Source organism: Homo sapiens, chromosome 12 (assembly GCF_000001405.40).
Source record: "Homo sapiens chromosome 12, GRCh38.p14 Primary Assembly".
Lineage (NCBI taxonomy): Eukaryota > Metazoa > Chordata > Mammalia > Primates > Hominidae > Homo > Homo sapiens.
In genome coordinates this window covers 107,006,890-107,029,864 of record NC_000012.12, presented here as the reverse complement: position 1 = coordinate 107,029,864, position 22,975 = coordinate 107,006,890, and the positions used below count along the sequence as shown (strand labels likewise).

The 22,975-nt window shown below is 37.2% G+C and overlaps 1 protein-coding gene across 17 annotated transcripts in view; it reads left to right on the top strand.

Moving 5' to 3' along the window:
* CRY1 (cryptochrome circadian regulator 1) overlaps nt 1-22,975 on the top strand; it is a 102,186-nt gene that overhangs the window by 63,685 nt on the left and 15,526 nt on the right. For all 17 annotated transcript variants that reach the window (NR_182153.1, NR_182152.1, NM_001413468.1 and 14 more), the window contains one exon: nt 7,673-7,781. Coding sequence is in view for 10 of the 17 variants with exons in the window: in NM_001413463.1 (NP_001400392.1) it covers nt 7,673-7,781 (109 nt within the window). In the remaining 7 variants the exon portion in view is untranslated. The remainder of the gene's footprint in view (nt 1-7,672; nt 7,782-22,975) is intronic.

The following is a 22,975-nucleotide window of genomic DNA, read 5'->3' as shown; positions in this document are numbered from 1 at the left end:
ATCTATTTGTATTTTATATGTTTTATTCTACCATAGCCAGTTCTGTAGTATTTATTTACATAATATACATATTCAGGTTACTTTTTTAGGTTTTAAGCTCTGTGAGTATTGGAACCTCATTTATCTTTGTATGACTCATAAATCAGTGATTGAAATTATAGAAGTAATTAACAGTATCACTCCTTCAAACACATTTTAGAAATTTTGTAGAGGAATTTTCAGTTGTCATAATGATTGATTTTTTTTTTTTTTTTTTTTGAGGCAAGACCTCACTCTGTCGCCCAGGCTGGAGTACAGTGTGCAGTGGCATGATTACAGCCAGCTCAGTGCAGCCTCAACCTCCCAGGCTCAATTGATCCTCCTGCCTCAGCCCACCCCAAGTAGTTAGGACTACAGGCATACGCCACCACGCCCAGCTAGTTTTTTTGTACTTTTTGTAGAGATGAGATCTCCCTATGTTGCTCAGGCTGGTCTCAAACTCCTGCGCTCAAGTGATCCACCCACCTTGGCTTCCCAAAAGTGCTAGGATTACAGGCATGAGCCCCTGTGTCCGGCCAGTTGTCACAATGATTGGAAGGTGCTAGTGGAATTAGTAAGGAGAAGCCAAGAATGGAAGATTTCTTTCAGTACTCAGAGTAATCCCTCAAAATAAATAGTTGTCTCTAGGTGCCATAGTGTGCATGCACGTAGTCCTGACTATTCAGGAACCGAGATGGGAGGATCACTTGAGTCCAGGAATTTGAGGCCAGCCTGGGCAACATAACGAGACCCTGTCTCTAAAGTAAATAAGTAAATAAAATAGTTTTTCTGAGTTACACATAAATTTCAAATGTTCTTCCAGATGTTTAATGTAAGTGAAAAACTTATTCATAATTGTCTGAACCTAGAGCCTAAATCTTTATGTATAAACAGTAGGTATTTTTTACACAATTTTAATATACACTGAGTTTCCCTGGAATGTATTTATCACCTATATAAATAAAGGAAAGATTGTACTTTGCTTTTTTTTCTGAACTTTCCTGTCTTGGTCAATATTTCAGAAAATCACATCACCAAAGGCAATATCACTCATGGTGTATGATGTTTGAGTCGCCAGTAACACAACTGTGTTAGTCTGTTTTGTAGCTGTTAAATTTTAAATGATTCTGTATGTAGGTGTGGACACTGAGTTTTAATTCATTGTCTCCTTATATCATGCCCACATATTTACCTCTAGAAGTACATGTTACTTCTTTTTAAAATATTAATGACTTTCCTTTAATTTCTCCTATATGTTTCAATTAGAGCATGATATTAATGCTTTAAAATTGTGTGTATGGAAATGTTATATTATCTAGGTCTTTTATTTCAGGATTTAAAAGAGGGCATTGCAAAATATTAGTTATAAAAAGTGATATAGGTCTACTGGTTTATGGCTTTTAGAGTGTGGCAAATGCAAAGTTTGCTTTTAAAATATATATTTCATCTTTATTGAACATTAAACTCTTATCTTCAGGGAAAGTGTGTATCACAAATATCCAGACAATTTAGGTAAAATTAAGTTAGATGAAAGCACTAAAAATTTGTAACAAACCAGAAAAAAGAGCATATGTAAATTTTATTAAATTTACACACACACAAATTGTTATATTTTTTAAATCTCTAATAAAATATAATAGACTTTGGTTAATGACTGAGAATCTCCATTTTTTTTCTTTATGATGGTGTATACAGAACTTTAGTTTTTTCTACATTTAACTCTTGTTTTATGTGGATAATAAGGTTATTCTCCTTGTAGTTTTAGTGATTTTAGTTTATATTCTTTGAATCAGTTCTTTGGGGTCAGCAATGAGTTGTTCCTGTTTAGATATTGTAAGTGTAGTTTTTATTGCTGAGTGTGTAAGATATATTTTACAAACTAGCATACAGAACCACATGGCTTTATTCTGGCATGGTACATGTTCTTAATGCCTTGTGTTCAGCAGCAATAGGATTATGTTGTATCTTACCATTGCCTTTTTTGGACTATTTCATAGACAGAACTAGAAATTCTAGTTATATAAAGCTGTTCTAGCACAGACTGGTAAGTAGGTCATTGTGACGGAGTATACTAAACCGTCCACTGGTTGCTATAGCAATGACCTACTTTAGGAAAATATTTCTGTTGATTCATGTTGAAGTCATCTTTTGGAAGTGGTATAAGGAAGCTTACTGCATATAATTTTTAAAATAACAGCAATAGATAGTGATCTCTGGAGGAAAAAAATCCTTAAAATGTTTAAAGTGAAGAAATATATATTTTGTCACCTAATGCCTCTTCAATTTAAAGTGGTGTGTTCAGTATTGTAATTAAATAATATGAGGACTGTGCTTCTATGTAGGCAGTACAATTATATGAAGGGATATAGTGAGTTTTACTATCATTTGGCCTATTTAAAAAGCAACCTGTTGTATGTAGTTAATAGCAGTAATAACGGAGCCATCAAATGGGTGTAGTTCAAGAAAATAATATATATGCCAAATTGGAGAAGGTCTGAAAGTATGTTCCTGTTAAGATGATATCATATGTATTTTCAGTGGAATATATTAAAAATAAATCATTCATTTCATTCAATATTGAGTGTCCCAGAGCACATGCATTTCTATTACATTAAAGTTGAACTTGGTGTGTTCTTTGGAACACACTGAATCTGAACTCTAACAGATCTAATCCTTTCCCAGTTAAGGGTAAAGGATTGAGCATTAGATTTTGTATAGTTTTGAAGTAACATTATTCGTTCAGCATTAAAGAGAAATCACACACATCACTGAGTTGATACTTTGAACCTGGGCTGTTAGAGGTATTATCAAGGAAAAATTATATGCTTAGAGATTAGTTGAGTCTTAATTGCGTTGTACCTTGTTTTATAATATTTATAGTCACATTGACCTTGCTACTGGGAAAGGTTTCCTTCAAATCATAGTTCAAAGTCACATTCAGATGAAGTTGTGAATTCAAAGTAATTCTGTATACAGGTGTAGGCATCCAACTAATTCACGTTTTCTTTTGTCATGCCCAAGTATTTACATATAGAAATGCATGGGGTGTTTTCTTTAAAAAAAAAAAAAAAAAAAAACAGGAATTATTCTCAAGGGAAAATAACAACTTCTGTTTGATACATATCTACCATGTGCTAGAGACTCTACTAGGTGATTTTATGAGGCTCCTAATCCTTTCAACAGTTACACAAGACACCCCTACTAGGTCATTTGATCCTGTTTCTAATCTTTTCAACAAATTATACAAGGCACATAATGAGATTTGTTTGCCAAATATAGAAACCAAAATATAGATTAAGAAAACTGTAGTTAGGGCCAGGCCTGATGGCTCATGCCTGTAATCCCAGCACTTGGGGAGGCTGAGGCAGGTGGATCACCTGAGGTCAGGAGTTCAAGACCAGCCTGGCCAACATGGTGAAACCCTATCTCTACTAAAAATACAAAAATAATTAGCCAGGGTGGTAGCACACTCCTGTAATCCCAGCTGCTTGGGAGGCTGAGGCGCAAGAATTGCCTGAACCTGGGAGGTGGAGGCTGCAGTGAGCTGAGATCGTGCCACTGCACTCCAGCCTGGATGACAGAACAAGACTGTGTCTCAGAAAGAGAGAGATGGGGAGAACTGACTTAATTTGAAATCCATTAGGAGGAGGTTTTATTTTATATATATATGTAATATATATATATATATTTTATATATATATGTAATATATATGTAATTATATATAATATATATATTTTATATATATGTTATATATATAATATGTATAATATGAGGTAAAATTTTTTCATCCTCTGAAGGACATAATGTACCTCAGAGGTTCAGAAGATGTAGAAGTGACTTTAAGATGGAAGATTTAAGGTTAGTGTGATATGAACTTAAAGGGATAGGAATTGGGAAAGGTATTCCAAGCCAAGGAAAGGCCCTGGAGCACATTCCAGGAGATTGAATGTGTGCTGAAAGAGAAGTTTGGTTTGGTGTGAGAGAAAGGGGTATGAGGTAGGAAATCAACCTAGAACCCTAGGTTAGTAGCCAAGCAAAATGATTTGTTGTGTATTGTATAGGGAATGAGTCGTTGAAAACCTTTGTATGGGAAGGTGTGCCTCATGAAGATCTGGAATTGCATATAAAATGAATTAGAATGGAGAGAGATTGTTAGTAGGCAGATCTATTTTAAGGCATTGCAGTAAATACAAGCAAGAGATAATATGAACTAGAATTATTGTAGCAAAAACAGAAGTGGAAAGGAAGGAGAACACTAAAAAGTAATAGATAACATATAATTGTGCTTACTATGGGCAGGCACTATTCTAAGAGCTTCGCATATGTTAATTTATTTAATCTCACGAACAATGCTATGAGACAGGTCCGATTACTGTCCCAATTTTACAGATGAGGAGACTAGATAGGACTTTTCAGGATTGATTTAAGGATAGTAATTTGTTGATAGACTTGTTAAATTATAGGACATCTGTGCAATGAAGTACTATGAAACTATGAAAATTGATGCTGTAGAAGTACGTCCATTGCCTTGAAAAGACGTTCACCATGTATTAAACCAGATACATATGTAGTGTATCTCGTTTTTCTTCTACTTTGAAGGAATGTATGCTAATTATCAATTTTAAACTTTTTTTATGAAGTTAAAAAAATGTGTTTGTTTCTCTGTTTCTCACCCCTATCTCAAACCCCCACTCCCTAACGGGGAGATATGATTAATAGCTTGGTAAGTATTTTTCCAATTATTTTCTTGTGCACATATAAACAAAAGTAGATGCATGCAATGTAAATTTTATTTTATCAGAGTAATATATGCAAATAGTTTTAAAAGCCTTATAACAAAGAATAGCATCATAGTGTGTTCTACTTTAGCCTTCTCTTTTGCTTTTCTTTTTGGATCTTTTCTACTTAAAATATTTGATTACAAAATACCTATATTATTTTTTAAGTGTTTCTATTTTTTAAATCTGTGCAGCTTTTATGTGAAATGAGAGATGTAAGTTATATCTGTGGAAGAAGAACACCATACTTAAATACAGCTTTTAGTCTTTTGTTTCATGAAGTACCAAAACAAAATTAATTCTTAGGTTTCAAAACTTTTCCTATTGTAACACATTACTTTAGTCCATATCATTCTGTGCATTTGTTTGGTTCATATAATGTTTATTAAGGCCAGGCCTGTGATGGTTCATGCCTATAATCCCAGCACTTCGGGAGGCTGAGGTGGGAGGATGACTTGAGGCCAGGAGTTCGAGACCAGCCTGGGCAACGTGGGGAGACCCCACCTCTACAAAAACTACAAAAATTAGCTGGGCATGATGGCATATGCCTGTGGTCCCAGTCACTCTAGAGGCTTAGGTGGGAGAAGTCAAGGCTGCAGTGAACCATGATTCCAGCCTTAGCAACAGAGCACAATCCTGTCTCCAAAAAAAAAAAAAGAATGTTTATTAAAAGCATTCGGAATGCTTATTCAGCCTATTAAGAAAGGGAAAGATTATTAATTAATCCATACTTAATTCTTCATTTTATGAATTAATCATGTCCTTTTGGTTTGTTTCTTATCCCATCTTACTGTCATTGAACTCTTGCACCACATAGAATTGTTTTGACCAAAAAGTTGAATATGGAGAACTCTTGCTGTTCTCAGTTCTTACTCACTTCTGGTGGGGAAGATTTTGAAACTAATGGTACAACAGAGATTAGGGGATTATTATTGCCTTAGATTACCCCCTCCAGGACATTTAAGTTTTGTACTGTTTCAATTTAAGAAAACTTAAAATTGCTAGTTCTTTCAACTTCTTAATTTTTGATCTGTGTAAAAACCCTTCGATCTTTGTTCTGTCTAGTAACTCTTCTTGCCAAGCAAATACATAAAATTAGATGCTTCCCAATAAACATTTGTCACCAGACATGATAAATTATTCATAGTTGGAGATAATTTTATTAAACTCCAATGCTTTTATATCACTATCCATCTAACAACAACAGTCTTCTCCCCTGAAATATTTGTACATTGGTAGTGGTGGGTTAGGATGGGGATCAGGTGTTAGGGAGGTGACTCCAAACCAAGGCAGAAAAGGGATGTGATAAAATATAAATGTGGGGATAGAAAGGTTTGCTTCCTACTTGGAAACCCATGAGACTTCCTAAGGTGAAATGGTGGGATGTCTTTAACATCCTCATAAAAATATAGCACCTTGACTCTTCAAGCTGTACAGATGGTGCTCCTAAAGAGGAAGAAGTGTCAGACCTGACTAGTGCACTTATGTCACTAATAACTACAGTTGTAAAAAATCAACAAGACTTATTTGGTGAAATGATGGTATCGGAATGTGTAAAGCGAACAAAATGATCTAGACCAAGCAGCTTTTTAGAACAATCTGTCCAGTAGAACTTTCTGCAATGATGGAAATGTTCTGTAGCTATACTGTTCAGTATGGTAGCCAGCCACCAGCTATACATGTGGCTGTTGAGGACTTGAAATGTGGCAAGTGTGACTAAGGAACTGATTTTTAAATTTAACTAACTTAAATTTAAATGGCTACATGTGCCTTTTGGTTACCATATTAGATAGTGCACTTCTAGAATTTGCATTTCCCTGCTTCTTAATCACTCCTCTTCACAAGTAAGAGATAATTGCTATTCTGAAAGACCATGTGGCCTGTGAAAAAGGCAGACAAATACTTAACCTTGAGATCAAAAACATAAAAGAAGCAAAATAGGAAATAAGATACGTCCAGCTGAAAAGAACAGAATCTAAATGAAACTTAACATGAGTCAAATAATAAGATTGGACCTTCCATGGGTGACATCTCTTTTAAATTTGTTCTTGGGAATGTTCCATTTCTTCGCAACAGAAGATGCACAGTAAGCAGTCTTCTGGTACTGCCCCAGAATTTTCCTAGATATCTGTCATGTGTAAGCCTTGTTACTACTTATTTCATTGAAAAAGTCTATAATCTCCACCCCAACTCCATGAAACCTTTTCTTTTTTTTTTTTTTTAGAAGTTAATCTGGCATTTTCTACACTCAGGGAATTAATAACCACATAATTTGGCATCTACTTATTAGTTTCTTTTTTTAATAAATTAGAAACTTGAAAATGGGCATTATGATTTCAATCTCTTAAATGATTACAATATTACAAAAAAGTACTCATAATCTTTTTTTTTTGTCCCCTCAGATTCCTTTTTACCATGATATTCTTAAATTATTCACTTGCTTATTCATTACATAGGATGTTTCTGGTTTTTTCCCCCCAGCAGAAGATATTCTAGATTTTTCAAGTTTTCCTTTCTATATGAAAAGCCATTTTCATACAGAAAATATTTCATCAAGTTTAAACAATGAAACCAATTTAATTGCTTTGATACTTCTTTGTATGTTTTTATGTTCACAAATTAAATTTTTGCTAATAGTCACTTTTATTTAATGAAAATTAGTGATTTTATTCAGTATTTTATTAAAATACTAGGTAATTTGTGCTATAATTAAAAAATATATATTAGTATGGTTTTTGGAAAAAGTATATATCAATAGGAGGTAATAAGATGATAGGTTGGCATTTCAACTTTTAGAATAACATGACTTTGTAATAATTTATGTCTTCTAAATATGTATTTTTTAATAATTTAAATAATACTTTCTTCTCTCTAGATTTTTGCTTCAGTGTCTTGAGGATCTTGATGCCAATCTACGAAAATTAAACTCCCGTCTGTTTGTGATTCGTGGACAACCAGCAGATGTGTTTCCCAGGCTTTTCAAGGTAATTTGAAAAATATTTGCATAAAACAATCTTTTCTCAGATAATATTACATATTTGGTAAATAAAGTTTTTTGACTAATTGAAAATGTAGCGAATATAAGTATTTTCAAGTAAAAATTTTGTGGGTTTTTTTTCTTTATTTAATGAAAAAGCTATACATGGTAAAAATCAGACAGTGAGAAAATAGTTTACAATGAAAAGTTCAATCTTTCTTCTACCTTAAACTGCTCGTTGCCCTCCCAGAAGCAACAGCTACTACCAGTTTCTTATGTATCCAATTCCAGTTTCTTGTTTATCCAATTAGAAATATTCTTTGCATAAACAAGAATTTTTTGTGTGTGTATATATATATATTTTTGTGTGTGTGTGTGTATATATATATGTGTATACACACACACACATCCATGTGTTTGTGTCTGTGTTACTGTCCCCTTTGTTAAAAGTTAAAATGACACACTATACACACCATTCTCTGCCATGCTTTGTTCACATAACCATATCTTTTGGAAGTTGTTCCATATCATTTCCTCGGTCTTTCAGATGACTTCATAGTATTCCATTTTGTAGATGGCTATAATTTTTTAAACTAGCTTTCTACTGAACGTTTAATTATTTTCTCTGTAGGCCTTTTGCTAGTATAAATGCCAGTGAACTTACTTGTCCACATTTATGAATCTTTGCTCACATGGGCCAGTACATTTGTGGGATAATTCTTAGAAGACTTTCTGGGTCAAAGGATTGTAACAATGGACATTTTACCAATAATACAGAATTTGTAGTGCTTTTTTTTTTCTTTTTTTGAGATGGAGTCTTGCTCTTGTCGCCCAGGCTAGAGTGCAATGGCGCAATCTCAGCGCACTACAACCTCTGCCTCCTGGGTTCAGGTGATTCTTCTGCCTCAGCTTCCTGAGTAGCTGGGATTACTGGCGCACGCCACCATGCCTGGCTAATTTTGTACTTTTAGTAGAGACAGGGTTTCACCATGTTGGTCAGGCTGGTCTCGAACTCCTGACCTTAGGTGATCCACCGGCCTCGACCTCCCAAAGTGCTGGAATTAAAGGTGTGAGCCACTGCGCCCAGCACTGTAGTGCTTTTTAAAAAACTTAGTAGGATCTTAAAAATCTTTAAAAATGTTTAAGATACCTAATCTTATCTCTTCCCTTTTTTCCAAATGAAAAAATTAGGCCTAGAGAATAATTGAGTTGCCCAAGATCATACAACTAGCTCATGGAAATGCCCAGACCAGAAACTGAGTTTCCTCATTGCCCTTTTTGTATTCATCCCTTCCTATTTATTACTGTATTAGTCCATTTTCACATTGCTGCAAAGAAATATCTGAGACTGTATAATTTATAAAGAAAAGAGATTTAATTGGCTCACAGTTCTGCAGGCTGTACAGGAAGCATAGTGGCTTCTGGGAAGGCCTCAGGAAACTTACAATCATGGTGGAAGGGGAAGGGAAAGGGGAAGTAAGAACTTCACATGGCCAGAGCAGGAGGAAGAGAGAAGGAGCGGGGAGGTGCCACACTTTAAAAAAAACAAAAAACAAAAAAAAAAACAGATCTTGCAAGCACTCACTCACTATCAGAGCACCAAGGGGAAATCTGCCACCATGATCCAATCACCTCCCACCAGGCTCCACTTCCAACATTGGCGATTATAATTCAACTTGAGATTTGGGTGAGGACATAGATCCCAAACCATGTCAACTACTATTAAACTTTATAAATGTATATCTGCTTTTTCTTGAATCATTTGATTCATCAAATTTTTGAAATAGCAATGTTTCTATTTGTATTTCTTAATGTAGAAGAGAACAGCTCTTTATGTGAATGAGAAGATCAATCCCCAGTGCTGGGAATCAAATAAGCATTACTTAGCCTTTTTTTTTTTTTTTGCTTGTATGAAAGACACATTTAATGTTTGTGAAAATTTACATTCAATAAAGAGGGTTCACAACTGTAATAGATCAAGTTAGAATTTAACCTAGGTATTTGGGAGAGTTCTAACAAGAAAGCATATCAGAAGCAATGATAATAATCTATCAGCAACTCATGAATATAAGAGTGTGTGTCGATAATTGTTTCAACCCTATCTCTAAATCTGTTTGATATAAATAAAATGAATCCTAAGTGGAGTTGCCTTTTTTTTTGTTTGGTGCTGGGGAGACAGGGTTTCGCTCTGTTGCCCTGACTGTAGTGCAGTGGTGCCATTGTAGCTCATTGCAGCCTCAAACTCCTAGGCTCAAGTGATCCTAGGACTACAGGATCGAGTAGCTAAGACTGCAGCTGTATACCACCATACTTGGCTAATTTTTTTTTTGTTTGGTAGTCTTGCTATGTTGCTCAGGCTAGTCTCAATCTTCTAGCCTCAGGCAATCCTCCTTCAACCTCCCAAAGCACTGGGATTACAGGCATAAGCTGTAGCACCTAGCCCTAGTTGCTTTAAAATAACAAAATTCTTATTTACTTGTTTTTGAAACAACATTTTTCAAACCAGCAAGTGTTTTGTGTTCTTTGTTTTGAGATTTCTTCTGCCTAAAATAGCACATTATTGGGCCAAACTATCTTCTGTATTTAAATGATGTCCTATCTTATCAATTTGGCAGAGAGGAATGGGTTTCCACATGGGCCCTAATATACAAATACATGAACACATACATATACATATAGTACTTATTATTTTATTCTGATTTTTTCTTTAGCTACATATAGTAGTCTGTATAAAATTCCATTTATAAAAACTTCCTTTTAGATTTATTTACCATATCTAGAGCCATAGAGGGAATTAATTCCTTTTTATTGAATTAATGTTTTGATTTTTACTTTTTGCTTATAGGTTCAACGTGCATATGTTTAAAAAAAAAAGGCTAAAAGGATATACAATTAAAAGCATGTTGTCCCCCACCTTCACCCTAACCATCACAACCACAGTTTCTCTGAGGGAGAAGATTCTTCTGTCATTAACTAGCTGAGTTACTTAATTAGTGTCTCAGGTCTTTTGGTTCTAGTACAGCAAGTAGTGAGGATTTTTAATAGGTAATTAATCTGGTTTTCCACATTGGAGGTAAGGCTAGTTTAGACCTGGTAACAGTACCCTTAGTTAATTGGGATAGTTGTGTCAGTGGCTCCAGTACTGATATCTCCCCTAGTATGTATCTTTCTTCTGTGTCATTCACTCAATTTATTCTGTTTATAAGGAGTAGATTCAGGAATGGGTCAGAACATTTTTATACACACTTAGGTAAACACATATATATCTAATAAACTATTGTCATTTTTTCTGGCGTTTTTTACTTAGTTTCTTTTCTAAGTTAAACTCTGACTTAATATAGGCTAACAAGATGGCTCTTTCTAGGCCCTGCAGAAACTTTTAATAAGGAGTTTAAATTATTGGTTTTAGAGACTAGGTGCATAATTAATATCTAGATTTTTTAAAAACATTCTCATTATATCTATTTCTTTTTTTAATTATTTCTATTTTTATTTTTATTTTTTGAGAGAGAGTCTTGCTCTGTTGCCCAGGCTGGAGTGCAGTAGTGCTGTCTTGGCTCACTGCAACATTTGCCTTCCAGGCTCAAGCCATTCTTGTGCCTCAGCCACCCACGTAGCTGAGATTATAGGCATGCACCACCACACCTTGCTAATTTTTGTATTTTTAGCAGAGAAAGGGTTTCGCCAATTGGCCAGACTGGTCTTAAACTCCTGGCTTCAGGATCCAGGAGTCTCCACCACCTTGGCCTCCCAAAGTGCTGGGATAACAGGCATGAGCCACTGTGCCCAGCCTCATTATATCTAAGAAACAGTGACACATGGCTAAAGTCTATAGATGGCCACACTGAAGCATTATAAAATGTTTTGTTCAAAATCACAGAATAAAAGAACATATAAAGCCACCATTTTTCAACAGTAAAATTTATATTATGCTTTTTTAAGTTACTTTGGATCTTGCTTTGTTAATTCATGACACATGCTTGATAGAATGTATTCAACAGATACTGATTGAGTGCCTGCTATATACAAGGCTGTGTCTGAGGTACTGGAGATACAGTAGTGAAACAAAAAATTTCTGTCTTCATGGTGCTTACACTGTAGTGGAAGGAGACAGATAGTAAACAAATAAGTAAACATGCAATGTCAGGTGGTGATATGTGCTGTAGAGAAGAGTAAAATGTGGGATAGTAAATGTCAAGGTGAGGGAAAGTTACTTTATATGGAATCAAAGAAGGCCTCACTGATAAGGTGACATTTGAGCAAGCATATGAAGAGTGAGCCATGCATCTGGGTTGTGGTATATCATATCCACAATATTTTGCAGCTCTTTCCGTCAAAAGGTAGAGTTTATTTCCTTACCCCATTGAATCTGACTTGCCCTTACAACTTGTTTTTAACCAAGTGTCAAAGAAGACATTGTGAATTCCAAATCCTAGGCCTTAAGCGACCTTTCAGCTTCTACTTTTCCCCTCTTAGGATGCTCCTTCTATCATGTAAGAAAGCCTGGGGTAGAATATCTAACTTTGGGAGGCCACATATAGAGAGTGGACCAAACAACAGCCAACACCAAAGTCTGAGATGTGTGAGTTTGACTATCTTAGGCACTCCAGCCCCAGCCAAGCTGCCAGCGAATTGCAGCCTCATGAGCAGATCCGAGTGAAACCAATAAAAGAACCATCCAGATACCTGACAGAATTTTGAGAATTAACAATTCCACTAAGCTAACTGCAACATGGGGAAGGAGCATGGAAGGCAGAGGAAACAGTGCTTAACAAAGGCCTTGAAGTAGACATGTGCATGATTTGTTTAGGGAACAACAACAAGGCCAGTGTGCTAGAGCACAGTGAGTGAAAAGAAGAAATGGCGTCGGAGAGGTGGCTGGAAGCCAGATCATAGGGCTTTATAGATCATGTTAGGAGCTTCAGCCTTTACTCGGAGTGAAATAGATGCCATTGGAGAGTTTTGAGTAGAAGAGTGACATGATTTAACTCATGATTTACAAGAATTTCTCTGGCTGTTTGTGGAGAATACACAGGGGATTGGAAGTGTTGTAGAGGCAGAAGCAGAAAGATCAGTTAGGAGGCAATGGCAGTTATTTAGGAATAAGATGATGATGACCAGGACCAGGGTAGCTGTAGAGGTGTTGAGAAGTGGTAGGGTTTTGGATATATATTTTAAATAGAGGCTGTAAGGTTTGCCTATATGTGATATATGAGAGTCAAGGATGACTCTAGGTTTTTAGCCTGGACGCATGGCAGAATGGATTCCCATTTAATGGAATAACAGACTATGGAGGAACAAGTTTAAGGAAAAAATAAGAAGTTCATTTTATAAATTTTTAGTTTGGGATGCCTTTTAGGCATGTTAATGTACATGTTGAGAAGGCATTCAAGTCTAGTGCTCAGGGAGAAGTCTGGACTAAATTTAGGACTCTTCAGTATATAAATAGTAGTTTAGACCCTAAGACTAGAGTTATGAAACAGAAGGAAAGGATGATGGATGGATGGATGGAAATTTTTAGAGTTTTACCTTCTTTGTATTTGGATTATTTTGTGAGGTAGCTTTACATTTTTATGCAATTATACTGTTTAATTTACTGTCAATTTAAAAAATAAATGCTTTCTCCTAGGACATATGTGATTTACAACTTTTAGTTTTACTATCAAATTTTACATTGCTTATTTTCACAGTATATTAATTATGACTTAAGAACTTTTTTTTAAAATTGTTTGGGAGTGCTATTTCTTTCTTTTGTTTTGTTTTATTTTATTTTTGTTTTTTGAGACCAAGTCTCACTTTGTCACCCAGGCTAGAGTGCAGTGGCACGATCTCAGCTCACTGCAGCCTCCACCTCCTGGGTTCAAGTGATTCTCGTGCCTCAGCCTACTGAGTAGCTGGGACTACAGGAGTGCGCCACCATGCCCAGCTAATTTTTGTATTTTTAGTAGAGATGAGGTTTCACCATGTTGGCCAGCCTGGTCTCGAAGTCCTGACCTTAAGTGGTCTACCTGCCTTTGCCTCCCAAAGTGCTGGGATTACAGGCGTGAGCCACCACGTCCAGCCAAGAACTTTATATTCATTTAGTTGTTCATGTTATCCTTTCTGATTAACAAGTAATTGTGATACACAAAAATAGATACAAATCTTATTGCTTAAAATTGCCAAGTGCTTGAGCCCAGGAGTTTGAGACCAGCCTGGGCAACATAGTGAGACTCTGTCTCTACAGAAAATTTTAAAAATTAGCTGGGCATGGTAGCATACACCTGTAGTCCCAGCTACTCCAGTGGCTGAGGTAGGAGGATCACTTTAGCCTGGAAAGTTGGAGGCTGCAGTGAGCCAAGATCATGCCACTCTACTCCAGCCTGGACAACAGAGCAAGACCCTCGCTCAAAAAAAATTGCAAAGTGAATATTCACTTACTCAAATGAAAATATGTTGGTGCTATTTGCAGTCTTACTGTTAAATCTAGGTATTGAAATTCAAAGGTAACTACGTGTTGCTTAAAATAAAAACCTGCTCTAACGAGTAGATAAGCCTGGACAACATGCTGAGACCGCATCTCTACAAAAATTTTTAAAAATTAGCTGGGTATGGTGGCGCATGCCTGTGGTCCTAGCTACTCAGGAGGCTGAGGTGGGAGGGATGATCACTTGAACCCAGGAGGTTAATGCTGCAGTGAGCTATATTCATGCCACTGCACTCCAGCCTGGGCAACAGAGTGAGACCTTGTCTCAAAAAAAAAAAAAGAGTAGATAGGGACTTCCATCTCTGGTTAAGATGTAAAAACTCACAATAGATCATTGTTTCCCATATTAACAAGGAGATGAAAGTGAATGTGACACAAAATTATAGAGGTCTTTTTTCCTCTTATTTTGTTTGAACCCGTTAGAGAATTGAGAAAATAAAGTCTTTAAAGGCTGGGCGTGGTGGCTCACGCCTGTAATCCCAGCACTTTGGGAGGCTGAGGCCGGCGGATCACAAGGTCGGGAGTGCAAGACCAGCCTGACCAACATGGTGAAACCCCGTCTCTACTAAAACTACAAATATTAGCTGGGAGTGGTGATGCACACCTGTAATCCCAGCTACTTAGGAGGCTGAGGCAGGAGAAACACTTGAACCCAGGAGGCGGAGGTTGCAGTGAGCTGAGATTGCACTACTGTGCTCTAGCCTGCGCAACAGAGTGTGACTCTGTCTAAAAAAAAAGAAACAAAAACACACAAAATATATATATATAGATACACCCAGGTTATATCCTAATGCTACACCATTCTACATAAGGGACTTGAGCATTTGTGAATTTTGGTATCCACAGGGGGTCCTGGAACCAATTTCCTGCAGATACCAAGGGAGGACTGTATATCAAAATTTACAGAATGCAGCTAAAGCAGTGCTTAGAGGAAACTTAATATTATAGCTTTCAATATTGTATTAGAAAAGGAAAAATCAAGAACTAAGTTTCTACCTTAAAGATAGAAAAAGAACACATTAAACTAATAGTTAGTAGAAAGAAAACAAAAAATAAAGAGGAACGGGAATCAATGAAATAGAAAACAATAAAGAAAATCAGTATGCATTAATTAGTTTATTATTTCTTAGTGCCAAACCCACCCTTCTTGCCCTACTGTGTGATACTGTGTCACAGCAGGAGAGAAGAAGCTTTTCTTCTTGATATACTTGTGCTTTTTTTCCCTGGGCTAGCAGATGAGTATGCCGGAGGATCAGTAGCATTCACCTCAGCAGCCCTCCTGAACCAGCCACAGCCTACATACACCCTCTGGTGAATTTCTGTGTAAGCCTATTTATACCCTCTGATAAGTTTCTATGCCACCTGGTGGACAGCTTCTACAGATAACCTGGTTAGCCCATACCTACCAGGAAGTTTCTCAGCCAACCAGCAGGTTATTGGTATGAAACACCTTTGGTCATTGCCCTCCGGTAAATTTCTTTACAGGGAAGGTTGTGTGTTCCTGTGGCAGCACGCTCCATCCAATGAGCCATGAATCTCAGTGGCTTGGTGGAGGGAGCTTTTGTTAAGTTTTTTATTCATTCCTTGTTTATTTTCCGTCCACATAGAGGTGGCAGCTGCTTTCTGCAATTGGTACTTTTGAACACCTTAGAGCAGTACCATCCAATAGAAGTCATGTTAAATTTAAAATTTTCTAATAGCCACATTAAAAAAGTAAAAACAAACAGGTGAAATTAATTTTAATGATTTATTCAACACAGTATATCTAAAATATTCTATATAAAAGTATTAATAAGCTATTTTATCTTTTAAAATAGCTTATTTTAAACGGAGTTTTAAAAAAATATGAAGTTCTTGAAATCTTGTATGTATTTTATACTTCCAGCTGATCTCAGTGCCAGCTAGTCACATTTCAGTGCTCAGAAGCCACACGTGGCCTAGTGGCTACTACCTACCATACTGAAGTGTAGCCTTATCTCCTGTTTTATTCCTTGTCATTGTTGACCACCTTTAGTAGCTAACAATTACAATTTTTGATACAGGCATACCTGGGAGATGTTACAAGTTTGGTTCGAGACCACCACAATAAAGTAAATATTGCAATAAAGCAAACATCACAATAAAGCAAGTCACAATTTTTTTGTTTTCCAATGCATATGTATAAAAGTTGTCTTTATACTATTCTGTAGTCTTTTCTGTGTGCAGTAGCATTATGACTAAAAAAAATACACACCTTAATTAAAGATATTTTGTTGCTAAAAAAATGCTAGTGATCATCTAAGCCTTCAGCAAGTCATAATCTTTTTTGCTGGTGGAGGTTCTTGCCTCAATGCTGATGGCTACTGGCTCATCAGGGTAGTGGTTGCTGATGGTTGTGGTGGCTATGGCAATTTCTTAAGACAGTAATGAAGTTTGCCACATCAATTGACTCTTCCTTTCACCAAAGATTTCTCTATAGCATGCAATGCTGTTTGATAGCATTTTACCCACAGTACAACTTTAAAAATTGGAGTCAGTCCTCTCAAACCCTGCCACTGCTTCATCAACTAAATTTGTGTTATAACCTAAATCCTTTTTTATCATTTTGATGATGTTCACAGCATCTTCACCAGCAGTAGATTCCATTTCAGGAAACCACTTTCTTGCTCATCCATAGAAAGCGGCTCCTCATCCATTCAAGTTTTATCATAAGATTGCAGTAATTCAGTCACATCCTCAGGCTGCACTTCTAGTTTTAATTCTATTGCTATTTCTACCACATTTGTAGTTCCTTCCTCCACTGAAGTCTTGAACCCCTCAGAGTCATCCATGAGGACTGGAATCAGCTTCTTCCAAATTGCTGTTAATGTTGATATTTTAACCTCCTCCCATGAATCACAAGTGTTCTTATTGGCATCTAGAATGGTGAATCCTTTCCAAAGATTTTCAATTTACTTTGCTCAGACCCATCAAAAGAATCACTGTCTGTGGCAGCTATAGCCTTACAAAATGTGTTTCTTAATAAAACTTGAAAGTCAGAATTATTCCTTGATCCATGGGCTGCAGAATTGATGTTACATTGGTAGGAATGAAAACAATGTTAATCTCCCTAATAAATCTCCATTGGAACTTTTGGATGACAAAGTACGTTTGTCTGTGAGCAGTGATATTTTTAAAGGAGTCTTTCTTTCTGAGTAGTAGGTCTCAACAGAGAGCTTAAAATATGTATAAACCATGTTGTAAACACATGTGCTGTCATCCAGGCTTTGTTGTTCCTGTTCTGCACAGGCAGAGTAGATTTAGCATAGTTCTCAAGGGACCTAGGAGTTTTAGAATGGGCAATGAGAATTGGCTTCAACTTAAAGTCACCAGCTATGTTAGCCCCTCACAAGAAAGTCAGCCTGTCCTTTGAAGCTTTGAAGCTAGGCATTGACTTTTTCTTCTTTTTTTATTTTTGAGACGGAGTCTTCCTCTGTCACCCACGCTGCAGTGCAGTGGCACGATCTTGGCTCACTGCAGCCTTCGCCTCCTGGGCTCAATTGATTCTCCTGCCTCAGCCTCCTGAGTAGCTTGGACTGCAGGCGTGCACCACCATGCCCGGCTAAATTTTGTATTTTTAGTAGAGACAGGGTTTCACCATGTTGGCCAGACTGGTCTCGAACTCCTGACCTCAAGCATCTGCCTGCCTCAGCTTCCCAAAGTGCTGGGATTACAGGCATGAGCCACAGTGCCTGGCCTGGCATTGACTTTTTCTGTCTAGCTATGAAAGTCCTAGATGACATCTTCTTCCAATAGAAGGCTGCTTCATCAACACTGAAAATCTGTAGTTTAGTGTAGCCACCTTAATTCATTATCTTAGATAGATCTGGATAACTTGCTACTTCTCCACCCAGCACTTGTTGCTTCACTTTGTACTTTTAGGTTATGGAGACAGCTTCTTTGCTTAAACCTTATGAACCAACCTCTGCTAGCTTCCAACTTTCCTTCTGCAGCTTCCTCACCTCTCTCAGCCTTCACAGAATCGAAGAGTGTTAGGGCCTCTCTCTGGATTAGGACTATGCTTTAAGGGAGTATTGTATCTGGTTTGATCTTCTATCCAGACCCCTAAAGTTTTCTCCATATCGCCATTAAGGCTGCTTTGTTTTTTTTTATGATTCATGTGTTCATTGGAGTAGCACTTTTAATTTCCTTCAAGAACTTTTCCTTTGTTTAGACATCTTGGCTAACTGGTGCAAATGGCCTAGCTTTTGGCCTGCCTCAGCTTTCTTTTTTGTTTTTTTTTTTTGTTTGTTTTTTGAGACAGAGTCTTGCCCTGTTGCCCAGGCTGGAGTGCAATGGCTCGATCTCAGCTCACTGCAAACTCCGCTTTCCGGGTTCAAACGATTCTCCTGCCTCAGCCTCCCGAGTAGCTGGGATTACAGGCACATGCCACCATGCCCAGTTTTTGTTTGTTTGTTTGTTTTTAGTAGAGACAGGGTTTTACCATGTTGCCAGGCTGGTCTGGAACTCCTGACCTCGTGATCCGCCCGCCTTGGCCTCCCAAAGTGCTGGGATTACATGCGTGAGCCACTGCGCCCAGCCTGGCCTGTCTCACCTTTCAACATGCCTTCCTCACTAAGCTTATTTCTAGCTTTTGGTTGAAAGTGAGAGATGTGTGACTCCTCGTTTCACTTGAACACTTAGAGACCATTGTAGGGTTACTAACTGGCCTAATTTCAATATTGTTGTCTCAGGGAATAAGGAGGCCTGAGGAGAGGGAGAGAGGGTGAAAGAGATGGGGGAAAGGCTGGGTAGGGCAGACAGACCACACTACATTTATCAGTTAAGTTCACCCTCTTTTATGGGTGCAATTCATGGCACCCCAAAACAATTACAATAGTAGCATCAGAGATCTCTGATAAAAGCTGGGTGTAGTGACTGGTACCTGTAGTGCCAGCTACTCAGGAGGCTGAAATGGGAGGATCACTTGAGGCCAGGAGTTCAAGACCAGCCTGGGTGATACAGTGAAACCACGTCTCTTAAAAAAAAAGAGAAGAGATCACAGGTCATCATAACAGATATAATAATGAAAAAGTTTGAAATACTGTGAGAATTGATAAAATGTGACACAGAGACACGAGGTGAGCACATGCTTTTGGGAAAATGGCACCAATAGAATTGCTTAGTGCAGGGTTGCCGTTAGCCTTTGATTTATAAAATGCACAATATCTGAGAAGTGCAATAAATAGCAAAGCACAATAAAATGAGTTGCCCTTGTAAATTTTTCATGTTCAAATTGCTGATGTGATTTTTGTCTCCTGTTAGTCAACAAAGCCAAAAACGGGTTCTTTGAAAACATTAATAAAATTGATAAACTCTTAATACTGATTCGGACAAAAAAGAAAGAAAATACAAGTTACCTATATCAGGAATAAGAAAGAGGACATCACTAGAGATTCTCCAGACTTTAAAAGCATAGTAAAGAATATCGTAAACACTATACTGTCAATAAATTATATATCTGAGATGAAAAAATTTCTTGAAAGGTATAATTTACTAGAACTCTCATAAGAAGAAAAAGAAAACCTGAATAGCCCTATATCTCTTAAATAAATTGAATTTGTAATTAAAAACCTTCCCATAAACAAACTTCAAGCCCTTAGATGGCTTTATTTTGAGTTATATCACACATTTAAGAAGGAAGTATTTCCTTCTTAAATTAAACTCTTTCAGAAAACAAGATTGAGATTACTTCCCAACTCATTTTATGAGGACAGCATAACCCTGATACCACAACCTGACAAGGAAAGTTTGAGAAAAAATTAAAAGTATAGCCAAGTGTCCCCCATAAACAAAGACTCAGAAATCACTAAATTGAATCTAGCAATATTTTTTATTTAAAAAAAGTTTTTTTTGTAAAGACACTATGTGGTCTCATTATATTTACCTAGGCTGAGCTCGAACTCCTGTGCTCAAGCCATCCTCCCATGTTGACTTCCCAAAGTGCTGGAATTACAGGTATGAGCCACCGTACCGGACCGTGAACCTGGAGATATAGAGATTTTATATATATATATATATATATATATATATATATATATATGTTTTTTTGTTTTTTTGTTTTTTCTGAGATGGAGTCTTGCTCTGTCGCCCAGGCTGGAGTGCAGTGGTACAACCTTGGCTCACTGCAACGTCTACCTCCCGGGTTCAAGCAATTCTCCTGCCTCAGCCTCCTGAGTAGCTGGAATTACAGGCACCCACCACCACGTCTGGCTAATTGTTGTATCTTTATTGGAGACGGGGTTTCACCATGTTGCCCAGAGTGGTCTCAAACTCCTGAGCTCAGGCTATCCGCCTGCCTCAGCCTCCCAAAGAGCTCACTGGTGTGAGCCACCGTGCCCAGCCTGCAATATTTTAAAATACTGCTACTTCAGGATCAAGTGGGGTTTATCTCATGAATACAAAGTTGGTTGAGCATTAAAAAAATCAATTAATATAACCTACTGGGTTAATAGGATAAAGGAAAAGAGAAATTATCTTAACAAATGAAGAGAACGCATCTGACATAATTCAACACCCGTGTATACTTTTTAAAAAGGTCTTTTAGCTAACTAGAAATTCTTTAAAGTGCTATATTAGTTTGTTCTCACACTGCAAATAAAGACATACCTGAGACTGGGTAATTTATAAAGGAAAGAGATGTAATTGACTCACAGTTTCACGTGACTGGGGAGGCCTCACAATCCTAGTGGAAGATGGAGGAGCAAAGGCACATGTTACATGGCAGCTGGCAAGAGAGCATGGGTAGGGGAACTGCCCTTTAAAAAAACCATCAGACCTTGTGAGACTTATTCACTATCATGAGAACAGCACGGGCGAAACCCACCCCCATGATTCAGTTACCTCCCACTGGGTCCCTCCCATGACATGTGGGGATTATGGGAGCTGCAATTCAAAATGAGATTTGGGTGGGGACACAGCCAAACCATATCAAGTGCTAAATAGCAATTTGATAAAGGAAGTCTACAAAAAAACATAAAATCTTACTTAAAGGTGAAACACTGAATGCTTTCTACCCAAGATAGGAAAAAACAAGGATATTTGCTTTTACAAATTACTTGAAGTCTAGCCAGTGCAGTCATGGAAGACAGAGTGTGGATTATTAGCTTACCACCTCATACCCCATCCCCGTATTCTTTATCATAGCATTTTTTTCCCTAATAGTTACGTATTCAGTAATTTACCTCTGTATTGCCACTCTTTCTCAATAAGCTCCAGGAGAGGGGCATCTAGCATAATATCTGTCATATAATTAGAATTATAATAAATACTTAGTGTATTACTGAATGCATTTAATTTTGGGAAACTTTCTCTTCCCTAGATTTTCATTTTTCTTTTGGAGAGATGTTCACTAATTTATCCCCAGGGAAGGAAAAGTGAATGATCTCATTGGTGAGTTTAGGAGAAGGAGCTGGGCTAGTTTAGCTGAGACGGTTCCTTTTCTTTTAGTTGTAGAGAGCACACGTTATATTCTCCTCTTCTATGTGATACGTTTTATAGGGAAAGCCCACACTGCGGGAGGTGCTGCTTATGATTGAGTAGGTAAATCTGTTTGATTCAACAGTGAAATAGTATTAGCAAGTTTACCTGCCCTGAAACCTGGTATGTTTTCTACAATTCAGCTTTGCTAATAATATGGCTGATATTTTTATCTTTAGCCCCCTGGCTTACGTGACTGAACTCAAGAAGGAAAAGGGGCAGGAAGTGTTATTTATTGACTCACTTCAGTATTTACTAAGATTTAAAATAATGTTTTTCAAAAAACAGTGCTAAATTGCACTAGGCACATTGGCTCTCGTCTGTAATCCCAGCACGTTGGGAGGCTGAGGAAGGAGGATCTCTTGAGGGCAGGATTTTGAGACTAGCTTGGGCAATACAGTGAGACCCTGTCTTTACGAAAAAAAATTAAGTTAGCTGGTTATGGTGGTGCATGCCTGTAGTCCTAGCTACTCGGGAGGTTGAGGTGGGAGAATTGCTCAAGTCCTGGAGTCTGAGGTTGCAATGAGCTATGATTGCACCATTGCACTCCAGCTTGGGCAACAGAGTGGGAGCCTAACTCTTAAAAAAAAAAAAAAAGAAGAAAAAGAGTTCCTGTCATTCATTGAGGGCTTGCTATGCATTGTGCTCTGTCCTAAACACTCTATATGCATTATGTTATTTAATTCTTTAGCAACCCAATAATATGGTTAATTTTTTCACATCACTGTAGCAAATACTTACATAGGGTTTATTACGTGCTAGGCACTCTCTCTGCACCTTACTTACTCTACCCATTTTATAGACTAGGAAACAGGCATGGAGAGTTTAGCAGTTTGCCTAAGTAGTTGAGCCAGTCTTTGAACTTAGGAAGTCTAACTTGTTAGATCCTGTGTTTTTAAACTATTCTATACTACCTCACTATAAAACAAAGAAATAGAATGCTTTTCTATTCTCATCTTAGTTTTATTTTTAAATTTCAAAAATAGCAAGTTCGTACTAACAAATCTGAGCAATGCAGCAGAATGTAAAAGTTATCTTATTTACATGCTCAAATTCTATTCCTCAAAGTCAACAGCCCTTAATTTCTTGATGTGCACTTTTCAGGACTTTTAAGAAAGGAAAAAATTTTTAATGAGATACTATTTTTTTCCTAATAGTTTAGCAGACATTTAAAAACAATTACTGGCTGGGCATGGTGGCTCACGCCTGTAATCCCAGCACTTTGGGAGGCCGAGGTA